At 47.5% G+C, this 13,143-nt stretch overlaps 2 protein-coding genes across 8 annotated transcripts in view, besides 2 other annotated features; one reads left to right on the top strand and one right to left on the bottom strand.

Moving 5' to 3' along the window:
* Positions 1-13,143, bottom strand: part of GPHN (gephyrin) — a 1,227,209-nt gene that overhangs the window by 209,390 nt on the left and 1,004,676 nt on the right. The window lies entirely within an intron of this gene.
* The window catches only part of TMEM229B (transmembrane protein 229B), a 63,582-nt gene that overhangs the window by 7,885 nt on the left and 42,554 nt on the right, over positions 1-13,143 (top strand). For 2 of the 7 annotated variants that reach the window (NM_001348548.2, NM_001348549.2), the window contains exon 1: positions 10,481-10,521. The exons of 2 other annotated variants lie outside the window; for them this stretch is intronic. The gene's annotated coding sequence lies outside the window, so the exon portion shown is untranslated. Of the gene's footprint in view, positions 1-10,480; positions 10,522-10,750; positions 10,881-11,218; positions 11,636-13,143 lie in introns of those variants that run through there. 3 more of the 7 variants (NM_182526.3, NM_001348544.2, XM_047431036.1) reach the window with 2 other exon arrangements.
* Positions 10,257-10,546: a silencer, noted in NCBI's record as "silent region_5857". NCBI's record gives its function as "represses an Ori minimal core promoter by ATAC-STARR-seq in GM12878 lymphoblastoid cells {active_cell/tissue: GM12878}" and the evidence as "EXISTENCE:reporter gene assay evidence [ECO:0000049][PMID:35858748]".
* Positions 10,877-11,006: a silencer, noted in NCBI's record as "silent region_5856". NCBI's record gives its function as "represses an Ori minimal core promoter by ATAC-STARR-seq in GM12878 lymphoblastoid cells {active_cell/tissue: GM12878}" and the evidence as "EXISTENCE:reporter gene assay evidence [ECO:0000049][PMID:35858748]".

Raw genomic sequence — 13,143 nt, 5'->3', positions numbered from 1 at the left:
GGGGCTGCTGTTTCTTCCAAACACTGCACATTGCCTCACTGGCCATTGGGGAAACTCTCAGATGGCTTCTGGAATGGTTTGATCTTGAAAGTAGAAATTTCCTGGGCACAGGGCATCATGCTTGTGTGAATCCAGGATCTCTGGAACAAAAGACACTCCTGAGAAGATCATGGTTCTTTTGGGAGGCAAAATTGTTAATGTTGAAATAAATCCACTGGAATACTCAAAGTAACTTTCTGTAAATATATTTTCCCGTCAAGCATAATAAACTGCATATGCAGTAATGTACATCAGATTGGAAGCCATTTATAGAGGGAAGAATCACTAAAATGTTACTAGGACCTTCCCCACTCCAAATCTCCTTTCGCTGACATGGCATGTTGTGATTCTTGCGTCCTTTCTTCAGCTACAATTGTGACTATTTCTCACAATTTATGTTAGGAGAAGAATGAGGGGTGCCCCTAATATTTATAGCAGCAATAACAGCAAAATAAAAGAGGGGAAAAGGATCCAATTGAAATGTCCGTCAATTAGGACTAGTAAGTAAAGTATTAAAATTATGATTCATCTAGAAAATGAAATACTATGCAGCCATCAAAATGTATGATGAAGAATTATATTTATTGACAAGGAAAGATATTCATTACTTAATGTCAAGTGAAGCAATGTCTAGAAAAGCATGTAGAATATGATTTGTTTTATGTAAAACTGTATACATATAACTATATGTATATTTATGTATATAAATATGGGTAGAATTATTTTTCCCAGAGATTAACAGTGACTATCTTTGAGTGGAGAAATTTGATATAATGTTGTTAGTTTCTGCTTTGTTCTTTTCTATATTATGTAAGCATTTTACAAGGAGTATGAATCATTTTTCTAATAAAGCTATTAAAATGTTTTAAAAGTATTGATCCTCATGAGTAAGTAGAAAGCCGAGATTCAGAGAAGTTGACATCTAACTCAATAAAGCCACAACCTGCCAGTCCAAGAGCCAGAGTGTGCACCCATAACCACCCATTCCTCAAGTTTAATGCCAACGTTTTGAGTTCTGCCTCCTTTCCCTTCATTAAGATACCGGGGAGAGATATGGCAATGGGGACCTGGGGGAGTTGGGGATCACTGTTCAGATCAGAGGGGCCTCACATCTTTTGATATTATCTGGATCCCTATTATCTCTTCAAAGCAATTACACTGTGACCACAACAGCATTACTGGATTCCTATTATACAGTATGTTCTTGTGGTTTGGCGGTTGTCCAAGGCTTGAAGGAGCAGACACAAGTCTGGGGACAGAGTTAAGTTGGGTCCCTACTTCTAATTCAAGCCCATCTCGCAACTTTCAAGAGAAATGATGTATTCAGCCATTTTCTCCATTTGAGGAAAGAAGGAAAATGAAGCTAGCTGGGTGTGGTCCATTGGTCGGACTGCAGGAGGTTCTGGGTGGGAGTGGCATAACTTCAAGGAAGAAGTCCTAAGCCTGTGTTCCTTTGTCTACCCCTTCTCACTCCTCCTCAGCCACCCATGTTTGTCCACACTCCTAATTGTAGCACCAGAGACCTCATGACCTGACCTTTGGCATTCTTAGAGTTCTGGGCACCAGCCAGCTCAATTCAGCCTGGTGAAAAATTAGCAGTTACGACAGGGATTGGGGTCCAGTGGGCCCAGTGTCTTCCTAGAACATGAGTTTGGATGTAAACAGTAAAAACAGAGCCAGGTTTGGTGGCATGCATCTGTAATCCCAGCTACTCACTAGGCTGAGGCGGGAAGATTGAGCCCGGGAACTTGGGGAACATATGAGATTTCACTTATTAAAAAAATAAATATCAAAAGCCCAAGGTTGTGAGAGAGTATTAATCTCCCATTAAACAACTACAGGGCATTTACAAGGTCAAAGTGGGTCTCTGAGCGGCCAGTTCCTTTCTTAGCCTATCCACTCAGAACACAGACATGCAGTTCCAGAACAAAGGATTCATCCCCTCTGTGTTCTTGCTTTGTGTCACTGGAAACCCTCTTTGTGTCACTATTCTTCCCTCCCTGTCCTCATATCCCTCTACTGTATTCCCTAGAGAGGTCACAGCTCTATACCTGACATTACTGCCCATGGATATGAAGAAAAAAAAAATTCCTCCAAAGATATTGTTTCCCCTTCCCACGTCTGTTCTTTGCTGAGGGACCTAAGAGAAAGCAGACCTTGACCTACGCTGTGGGCAAGAAAGAAAGGCAGAATCTTTTAACAAAAAGAAGTGTGTATTTACAAATGCTGGTCAATCTTGAGCCAAAGCCAGAGTTTAACCTACAAATAAGACATGGTAGAGATACAGCATGGCCACAGAAACAGCCCCATTGTAGAACACAAATAATCGCACATCTTCCTCTGCGTGGAGGTGTAGAATCTAAAGCCATTACTTGGAGCACAGGGTAATGCTTTGTTATAGACCATCTTGCATTGCTCTCATCTTCCAAATGCCTAGGTTTCATTCTTTGCTACCTGTATAACCCTACCTGTATAATCCTTAGCACAGTGCATGGCACATTAATGGTTGTTGAATTGAATAACAAGTTGAATGACTTTTTTTCCCTAGCACTGTACTGTTTTGAGGACTGGACTCCTCTTTTTTCTTTTCTTTTTTTTTTTTTTGAGATGGAGTCTTACTCTGTAACCCAGGTGGAGTGCAGTGGTGCCATCTTGGCTCACTGCAACCTCAGCCTCCTGGATTCAAGCAATTCTCCCTGCCTTAGCCTCCCGAGTAGCTGGGATTACAGGCTTCTGCCACCACACCCAGCTAATTTTTGTATTTTTAGTACAGACAGGGTTTCACCATGTTGGCCAGGCTGGTCTTGAACTCCTGACCTCGTGATCCACCTGCCTTGGCCTCCCAAAGTGCTGGGATTATAGGCATGAGCCACCGCGCCCAGCCTGGGCTCCTCATGAAGTCAGGAGCCCAGTTCTCAAAACAGCACAGTACTAGGCAAGAGAAGACACTCAATACACATTTGTTAATTAATTGGCATCTGAGACTAATTGAACTAATTCCCCGGACAAGATAGAGTCTCTGGGATCATCAACCCTTTGGGCTTCTGCAGCCTTTCCTGAAGGTGGCAGGGTTCTAGCAGGTCCAGGACAAGGAGGGTAAAAAGAATAGAGATGGGGTTTGCCCCACCCTCTGCAAGGCAGTGGGCACACTGCCTCACCACCCGCTCCAGGCTTGGCTGTCTCTCAGCCGGCTCCTATGGGAGAAACCTTTTGACTCAGATCTACAAAAAGAAAGATTTTCCCAGTCTACCCCAACCCAGGACCTAGCTGTGACTTGGATGAGAATGCTGTGATACAAATTCTTAACCTATTAATGTTGCCAAGTCCCAAGATATCCTCCTGCAATCACTGTATCTGGCTGAAATTTCTCTTTGAACTGATATAGTGAAGTTGGGACAGGCACACAGTGTCCCCCCAGGCAGAGTGGCTTAGATAGCAGCATAAGAGCTTTTAGTTGCAAAGCCTTCTCATAACCAGGCTCGCCTCAACAATACTCCTTTGTCCCCCCTCAGACGACTAAGCTTCTTGTATCCTGGCAAAGGGAAGCACAGAGGAGAGGTGACCAGCTTGGAGTTTGGATTTTAATCTCCAGGGCAGAAATTCTTTTAAATTTGCCCAGCATCTAGGCTGACTGCTGAGTCAGAAATGAGAGCAGTAGAGTGGGAGAGGAGCGGGTACGGGGATATGTGTGGAATGGGGCTCTCCCGCACAATCCCCAACTTTCTTTCCTTTTTTTCTTTTTTTGTTTTGTTTTGAGACGGAGTCTCACTCCGTCACCCAGGCTGGAGTGCAGTGGCACGATCTCAGCTCACTGCAACCTCCGCCTCCCGGGTTCAAGCGATTCTCCTGCCTCAGCCTCCCAGTAGCTGGGATAACAGGCACGCTCCACCATGCCCGGCTAATTTTTGTATTTTTAGTAGAGACGACTTTCACTATGTTAGTCAGGCTGATATTGAACTCTTGACCTCGTGATCCACCCGCCTCAGCCTCCCAAAATGCTGGGATTACAAACATGAGCCACCGTGCCCGGCTTAATCCCCAACTTTCATAGTCAACTCTGTCCTCTAAAAGACTTACGATCACAGTTAAACCCATACTTAAAAGTATGAGGTGATGTGGTTTCAATGTGTGCTCTTATTCTCACTTTGATTTCTTTTAACTTTGGTCTTTTCCTCTCTTAATTTACTGCTCTTCTTATCAACCTGTGCTAATTTTCAGGGCTGTCTTAGTGCACACCCATTAATGTCTTAATGCTTTATGGATGAATTCACATGATCACAGAATCATGAGTTCTTCATTTTCAGGCTCAAGGTGTTCATGAATACTGCATAGTCCTTATCCACTGGATTTTCTTTTTGATGATGAAAAAACAAGAGAGGACAGGACCTTTAAATATCCCCAAAGTAGCAAGACACTTTATTTTAAGACTTCTATGAAAGTACCTACCTACCCCTTTCCCACATGGACATATGGATACCAAAATCTTCTGATAAACCCACAGGACTTGATCATTTCTCCTGGGCCTAATGCCTCTTCTCCCTCCACTGGTACCCCTTTCCATCCCTCTGTGACATTTTATAAATATTCAAGGGCATCCTTAGTAAACTTTTGCATTTGCTTCCCCTGTCACAATGCACTCATTCCTGAGCATAGCTCACAGCTATACAGAAGTCTGACTTTGTAATGTAATTTATGAAGTTACCTAAATGTAAATTATGGACTTTGGGTGATAATGATGTGTCACCCAGCTCTATACCAACCCTAGCATAAGAAGTGATATTATTCAACAATCTACATCTTCCTGTCCTGGTACTTTTCAGAGCCTCTTGCTGCTTTCTTGAGGCTTACCTGTTTCTCCATTCACTTTCTCTCATAGCCAAGAACTTTACAGAGAACAACGATGAGATACCACACTATACACCAATTATAATGGCCCAAATGTGGAAATACTGACAAGATGAGGATGTGAAGCAACAGGAACTCCCATTCATTGCTTGTGGGAATGCAAAATTGCTACATCTGCTTTGGAAGACAGTTTGGAAATTTCTTATAAAGCTAAACATACTCTCACCACACAATCCAGGAATTGTGCTCCTTGGTATTTGCCCAAAGGAGTTGGAAATTTATGTCCACACAAAAACCTGCATGGAGTTTATAGCAGCTTTATTCTTAATTGCCATAACTTGCAAGCAACCAAGATTTCCTTCAGTAGGTGATGGGTAAATAAACTGTGGTACGCCCAAAGGAGTTGGAAATTTATGTCCACATAAAAACCTGCATGGAGTTTATAGCAGCTTTATTCTTAATTGCCATAATTTGCAAGCAACCAAGATTTCCTTCAGTAGGTGATGGGTAAATAATCTGTGGTATATCCAGACAATGGAATATTATTCAATGCTGAAAAGAAATAAGCTATCAAGCCATAAAATGGCATGGAGGCAACTTAAATGTATATTACTAAATGAAAGAAGTTAGTTTGAAAAGGCTTTAAATGGTGTGATTTCACCTATATGACATTCTGGAAAAGGCAAAACTGTAGAGCAGGTGAAAAGAACAGTGGTTGCCAGGGGTTAAGGGGGAGGGAAAGATGAATTAGCAAAGCACAGAGGACATTTATGGCAGTGAAAATATTCCATATGATACTAAATGGTGGATACATGTCAATATACATTCATCCAAACTCATAAAAAGAACACCAAGAGTGAACCCTAATGTAAACTATGGACTTTGGGTGATAATGATATGTCAAAGCAGCTTCATCAGTTGTAACAAATATACGACTCTGGTGGGGGATTCTGATAATGGGAAGTCTATGCATGTGTGGAGGCAGGAGCTATGGGAAATCTCTGTACTTTCTTCTCAATTTTGCTGTGAACCTAAAACCACTGTAAAAAATAAAGTCTAGGTCAGGCATGGTGGCTCACGCCTATGATCCCAGCACTTTGGGGGGCCGAGGTGGGAGGACCACTTGAGGCTAGGAGTTCAAAATGAGCCTGAGCAACATAGGGAGATCCAGTCTCTACAAAAAATAAAAGAATTAGCCAGGCATGGTGGCGTACGCCTGTAGTCCCAGCTACATGGGAGGCTGAAGCAGGAGAATCGCTTGAGCCTAGGAGTTCAAGGCTGCAGTAAGCCATGATCATGCCACTGCACTCCAGGCTGGGCAACAGAACGAGAACCTGTCTCAAAAAAAAAGTAAAAAAAAAAAAAAACAAACTTACAGGGCCACTGAGTCAGGTACAAATTCCCTATGCTGCTTGCTTCCCCTTGTCCTGGACTTTCGCTGTTTGGGGGGTACTTGGCAGCCTTTCCCTTCTTGTAGTAACAGTCCCTTATTTCTTTCACTGCCTCTAATCACGATGTGCAGTACCTAGTAGGGCTTACACCAGAGTATCCGGATGGACCCTTCCCTGTCCAAGAGGGAAGGTGAATGCAGGACTCAACTTAGGCAAATTTGACTCTTTATGCTTGAGCAGAAGTGATGAAAAGATTGGCGTCTAGTTGCTCTGGCAGGACAGCCCCGAGGAGACCCTCGATTACTTCCCATTACCTGGATTCCCAAAACTGGCCTTGTGCTGTGCTAGTCCTTTCGAGCTTGTTTTGCCAGCATTCCCTTTAAATATGCGAGCCATCTGATCATATTCTTTTCCAATGAAATTTCTTTTTTAGACTTAAGATAGCTAAAGTTGGTTTCTATTGCTTGCAGTCAAAGAATCCTACGTGATCTGAGTTTACACTCCTTAGCCTCTTTATGCCCCTTTCCTTCCTATTTTGAGAAGGGGCAGTTGCAAAGAGACTCCCCCATTTTCAAATGCTGGCATATTACCTTGACCTCTTCTCACCAAGACCATATCCATATGTCCCATCCCCCAGTTCTTTCCTACCCAGCTTGTTTTCCTGTAAAGCTGATCCAAATAATTCCAGATTCAAGATTGGCTTCAACTTCAATGCTTCTTCTGCTTCTACCTCACTTCTTGCTTTCTTATCATAGCATCTGCAACAGACTTCATGTGATCTTCTCTTGATCTCCCATTTCCATGCTCCGTCTCCCTCCTAGACCCTTTCTGATCGGGCTGCAGGTCAGTTCCTCCACTGGAATCACCCTCTTGAGCCACATCTCTCCTAACTTGTGGTCAGAGGGCAGCCCCTGGGAACCAATTCTCTCTAACAAGCATAAAGAAATCTTTCTGATTCCCTTTGAAAGTCATCAAGAAAATTACTTATGGGGGACAAGAGCAAACCCTTTATGGCTGGTTTCCTTTGGGGGAAGGGCAGAACAGTTCTTGCCTTTCAGAATATATGTCTAAGGACCTAACATGTTCAAGGAACTTTAGAGATACAAAGATACTTGAAAGATTCTTCTTTTCCTTGCCAGGTGGTGGAAGAGAGATGTGAAGAGAACTACCATTTACTGCCTACCGTGGCGGGGCCTTTACATGACAGTGTGGAGCTACTGCCACTTATTACCTGTGTATTATACTATGTGTCTGGCACTATGCTAAGCACCTTATATGCATTCTCCTACTTACTCTTACAACTGCCCTGGGCTTGGGTATTATTGCCATTTCCATTTTGCAGATGAGAAAAATAGGCTGAGAAAAGTTAAATGAACTTCCTTAAGACATCCAACTAGGATGGAGAGTCTGAACTCAAAACCAAGTTTGCTTGAGCAAAGCCTGTCTGTTCCTGGCCCATACCACCACACCGCTCCTCTTGCTTTGACAAGACACGAAGGCAAAGCAGGGGCTGGTATCCTTTGGTGTGTGTTAGTGCAGCAGGGGTGGTTTGTTCCAGGCCCCTTCACCTTCACCCTGTACTTGAATCACTAGAACCATGATTACTGTGCCTCCTGCACCCAGGGTCACCCTCCCAACCCCTTCCCACAATTCTGTATGTAAGTTTCAGCATTCTTTGGGTGAAAAGCCAGGGGGGCCCCTTACTGTTACAGATGCTATTTTAAAGTCCATTTCTACAGCAGACTGCTCTACCCTGTGCACCCCTGATCTTATGTCAAATGTTCTTGGTGCAAACAGAAAGGAGCTTGCAAGGGGTACCAGAAGACCTGAGTTTGAACTGCATTTTGCCTTTACTAGCACTCTAACCCTGACCAAACCATACAACCTCTCTGAGCCTTAATTTCCTCATTTATAAAGTGGAGATAAAAATAGCTGTCCTACCCAGAGAGAGAAAATATGTCAATTGTAAGGCACTACTATCTAAATTTTTTTGGGAAGAAATGATCCCTAATGTAAGGAATGAGGAAAACCCAGGTCATGGAGTTAAGTTCACTGGAGAGCTGGAGAAAGTAGAGGCTGGATGATGCCATGCCTTGCACCTTAGATCTTAACCCTTCTTTCTGATTCTCTAACTGATATCTTGGCTTCTACAATAGAGCTTCTCTGCTAAAGGATGAAAATATTAATATTATATATTAAAACATTTTTCTTTGACCTCAATGTTTATTTTTTGCCTCTGAGTTTAAAAGAAATTCATACATTTTTGCGGGTCCCTAAAAATATTGTGAGCACTGAGCCCGGCGCCTACCGTGCCTCATGCATAAGGTGCCAGGAATTCAGATCTTCCGAAGCCTTTCCAGCCCATTGTGCTTTCCTCTGCGCAATGCTGCCTCCCAGAGCCTGGGGGAGAGCCAGCTGCCAGCCGCCGGCCACAGCTAGAGAAGGAGATTAGGCGTACTATGCCTTCGTGGCAAGGGGGCACAGGGGATGGCCCTTTTCATCAGGTAGGCCTTGCTGCTAGACTAGCTGCTTCTTGCCAGCGTGTCCCTGAGACACTGTCTCCTGCGTCTCTGACAGTGTACTAGGACAGCCCACATGCCTGCCTGTAGCCCTGACTCTCTCCCTTTTCCCTGACCTATCTCCAGCAAAAAAACAAGTTTTCCTGTTATCCAAAGCCTACTGTGTGCTGAGAATATTATATGCATGATGTCCTTGGGTCATTATACTATATTTATGATGAGGCAAATCTCCAAATTACAGAAAAGGAAACAAACTCAGGGGGAAGTCTAGAGTTCCTGCCACTGGTAGCACGTGGCTGTCTACCTCCTGTACTAGTTTGAGGAACCCAACATGACTCCCTCTGCCCCAATCAGAACCCACTGCTTTCCTTCTGAGAAAAATGGCTTGACCAGCCCAGGAACACGATATACATGGGGATGGGCTTAGAAATTCCTTGTCCATATTTCCTACTCCCAGCTTTGAGAGGCACCTTTGTTGATCTTTGAATATTCTGGCCAGGGACAGGAGGTTGATGGAAGACCTACGGCCCCATCAGACAATTAGGGGAAGACACAGGATCAGATTAGGGTTAGGTATTAGGTTCAGACAGGAGGAAAGCAGCTCAGCTTCTTGCCCAGAATGGGGCAAGAGCAGCTGGATGAACCATAGGTTCCTTTTCTTAGAAGATTCTGTGCTGCCTTGGACTTCTGAGAGCTGTTTGTCACTGGGGTATGTTACAAAAAGGGGTAAGGGCTTCAGCCTCTCTTGTTGTCCCTCTCCTCATTTCCCCCCCTCTCCAGCTAGGTTGAAAAGCGGCCATTAGACCCCTCAGATCAGGCCTCGGCATGCATAGGGTTTGCGAGAGAATTAGAAAGGGTACCCTCTCCGGATGGGTTAGTGACAAAAGGACACCCCCAGAGGGTGTTATAAATTTTCAAAATGCCCTTTCCTCTTGGCTGAGGCACCCAGTGCCAGGACCTAGGCTTGGCGTGCGAATGGGGGCTGGCTGTCATTCCCACTCCCTGCTCAGCCTTTCTGCAGGACCCAGGACCAGTCCAAGGGGCCTGTCTCAAGTCAGGGCCCTCAGCTGCCGATTTCCTACGTTCGGTATTGTGGAATTTCCAGAGTTTCCAGATGATATTCATTATTTTCCACCTCCCAATAAAAGAATCTAGATTGACTTCTGAAATAACATATTCTCTGTAACCTTTATGGTATAAAGCAAATCGTGAGCCTTAGAAGTTCAAGCCTTGCCTTAGGCAAATTCCTTAACTTCCATAGGCCTCAGTTTCTCCATCTTGGAAATGGGGATAAACAAATGACCTTACATGGCTGTTTCCATGAACTGACCGCAGGTCCACAGTGCTGGCACATAGTGGGTCTGCCACACCACGTGGTCTGTGGCCCTCAGGTAGCCCGGGCCTGCAATGGTACCCACAGTGGATGTTGCACGCCTGGTCCCCACAACTACAAGCTCCGGGCCTGACAGACACTCAAATGCAGGCGGGTTGGCTAGGACAGGGAGGGCCGAAGAGCCCTGCACCGCAGCCACCTGCGCCGCGGCCCTGGCAGGGGGCGTGCTCCTAGGCGCCCGTGGCGGGGCCGACCCCGGGCTGCGGGAGGCAGAGGGGTCGGAGGGGACAGCGGGCCGGGCCGGCGAGCGGGCGAGCAAGGAGTTAAGCCGGGCGGCAGGGCGAGCGCCTGTCAGACGCGAGCATGTGCAGTTTGCAGCGCATCCGTACTATGGGTGAGTGCCGCCGCCGCCGCCGCCGCCGCCGCCGCCGGGGGCTCCTTTCCTCCCGGGCAGCGGCGGCTGCAGCCCCCCGGACCCCGCGCCGCCGCGGCGGACGCCGACACACAATGCGGGACTAGGCGCGGCGCGGGAGTGCCAGGCGGCGTGGGGGAGGCACGGCCCGCAACTCGGCGCGGGGGGAGCCAGAGCGCCGGGCTTGGGGGCGGGGAGCAGGCGGTGCAGGAGAGCGCCCCGAGTCCCGGCGCGGGAGGAGGAGCGGGAGCCAGCCCTGGAGACGGCGCTCCTAGCCGCACCTGCGCCTGGCAGGCGGCCGGCTCTGCCCAGCCCCTACCCACGGCCCCGGCCCCGCACCGGTAGGTGCCCCCTATGCCCGCAGAGAGGCCTTTCCGCCGCCCAGAGAGGTGGCCGCGAGGGGCCGGCAGCTCCGACCGCGGAGGGCGCGGGCGATGGGGACGGTGAGGGGAAGACTGGGCGACCGGACTTGGGGCTGTAGCAGATCCCGCTTCCTCTTTGCTTTCGGTTTCGAGGCTGCTGCCCCGGTTCGAGATCCAGCCGCAGATTAGATAGGTGGTGCGCCCGGGGCTTGGATTCCCTGCGGGGGATGGGCGCACAGGGGGGCGTGTTGGGGAAGGGGGTGCGCGTTGGCAACTTTCCCTGCCTGAAACAAAGGGGTGTCAGGGGGAAGCGAGGGGCAGCGGTAGGTTGACACCTCCTCTTCTTCCGGGCGGAGAGCACCCAGGAGGCCACCTCAGCAGGGTGGAGGGGGGTGACAGTCTGGGTGGAAGCTGGGGAGCCAGGGCTTGGGAGTGGAAACCAAGGACCCTCCTGAATTAGAGGCTGAGGACTTTCCAGAAGGGAAGGGAACGCTGCCAAAATGACCCCGCCGCCTTCTCCCCAGGGTGCATGGAAAAACTGGGTGATGGACCCCACACCTAGGCGCCCTCCACTCCCCAGGTCCGTGTCCTGGGGCCCAGCCCAGCCCCCTGGCTGCCAGCTCTTCACCTGCCCTCCCTGATCTCTGGTCCTCCGTGAGAGATGCCTGGCTGGGATGGGGAGTGTTACAGCCCGGTTCCTGGCAAGGGCAGGGAGACATTGGCCTCTTTCCCAGGTATCTTCCTTTCCCTCTTTCTATGCTCAGTCAGAAACGGACCCCTTTCCCTTCCTTCCCGGGGACTGTCTCTTTTCTTTCCCCAGGGTTTCCCTGGGGGTGTTTGGCTGCCTTAGGTACAGAGCTTGGAGATAGGAGGGCAGAGTGTTCGGGCACTGCTCAAGGCTCTCCCTGGAGGGAAAGAGCAGGACCCCAGGCAGCTTTCTGCTGGTGTAACCTTGGGGGCTCTGCTCACCAATTCTCATGTGTTCTCAGCACCCTAGTAATAAGTGAGCTATTGCTGTGGCTATCAGCCTTGGGTAATTGAGAGGCCTGGGTTTCTCTCTGCTGTACCAGGAAGAGGGATCAAGGGAGGGCCAAGCAACCTGCCTTGGGGGTGGTACAGTGTCTTTCTCTCTAGAAAACAAATGGGCCAGGTTCCAGGTCCCCAGTGCTTGGCCTTATGTCTCCAGGAACAAGGTGCCTTCAGTTCTGAGCTGGCTTACATGTGACCACCAGCTCCTATCCTGTGGCAGGATAGCCCTTTGGGAGCTCAGATTTTTTTCCCTGTTTGGAAGACAGATACATCTGCTTCCCTGTGAGACAGAAGGCACTGGAGGGCCCTAGACTGGTGGAGGACTCTCCCGCCTGCCTGTGTGAATGACCTAATGATACAAGGATACAAGTAGGTTGGGCCAGGGTGGGCCTGTCAGGACACTTTGCTCTAGAGACACTTTGCTCAGGGGTGTGCTGAGATGACACTTAGCCCCCATCAGGGGCTTTGTGTTTGGAGACAGATACAGGCAACTGGGGACACAGCATGGCAGGCGTTGGGTGGGGACAACAGGCTTTTTTAGTGTTGATTTTGGCCACTTATAGGTACAGGAGCAACGGAGGTTCCAGGACCAATAAGGAGTAGCAGGAGAAAACTGAGTCCCCTGAGCTATAGATTTGTGGCCCTGCAATTTGTGGCTAAAGTCAGATGCAGGTACTGCACCAGAGAAGCACAGCTAGGCCCACTTCTATGGACCTTCCCATTCTAACAGGCAGGCAGGATTGATTTCACTCAATTCCCCACTGGAGCGGCTTTATTGGTTTGTCCCAAGCTATTTATTCGGAGCTGAGGATAATGATATGGAGGCCTGACCTCCGAGCCTCCAGTGGTTAGAGGATGGGCTTTTCCGTGGCATGTTCCTCAAATGTACTGACCTTAAGATGGGAAATTGATACTCTCCTAACTTCCTGTTTTGAAGTGATGAGGCATGAATTTTTACATTTATAAAGTGATTTAAGACCCTCAAGTCCTTGAATGAAAGATATTAAATGAGTTAGTGAGCCTTATACTGTGTTTATTTCGGTTGTATCAGATTTACATATTGTTTCTAAAGGGAAAGGTGTCATTTTACAGGAAGGGACCAAATTACAGCTTTTGTGATAGGCAAAGCTCAGTGTTGGTTTTAAAAGTGTAGTTTTTATCAGAAAAGCTCTCGCTGCAGCACTTAGGCAGCAAGCTTTTTTTTCTGCTTACC

This window comes from Homo sapiens, chromosome 14, assembly GCF_000001405.40.
Source record: "Homo sapiens chromosome 14, GRCh38.p14 Primary Assembly".
Classification (NCBI taxonomy): domain Eukaryota; kingdom Metazoa; phylum Chordata; class Mammalia; order Primates; family Hominidae; genus Homo; species Homo sapiens.
This window is presented reverse-complemented; position numbering and strand designations above follow the sequence as displayed.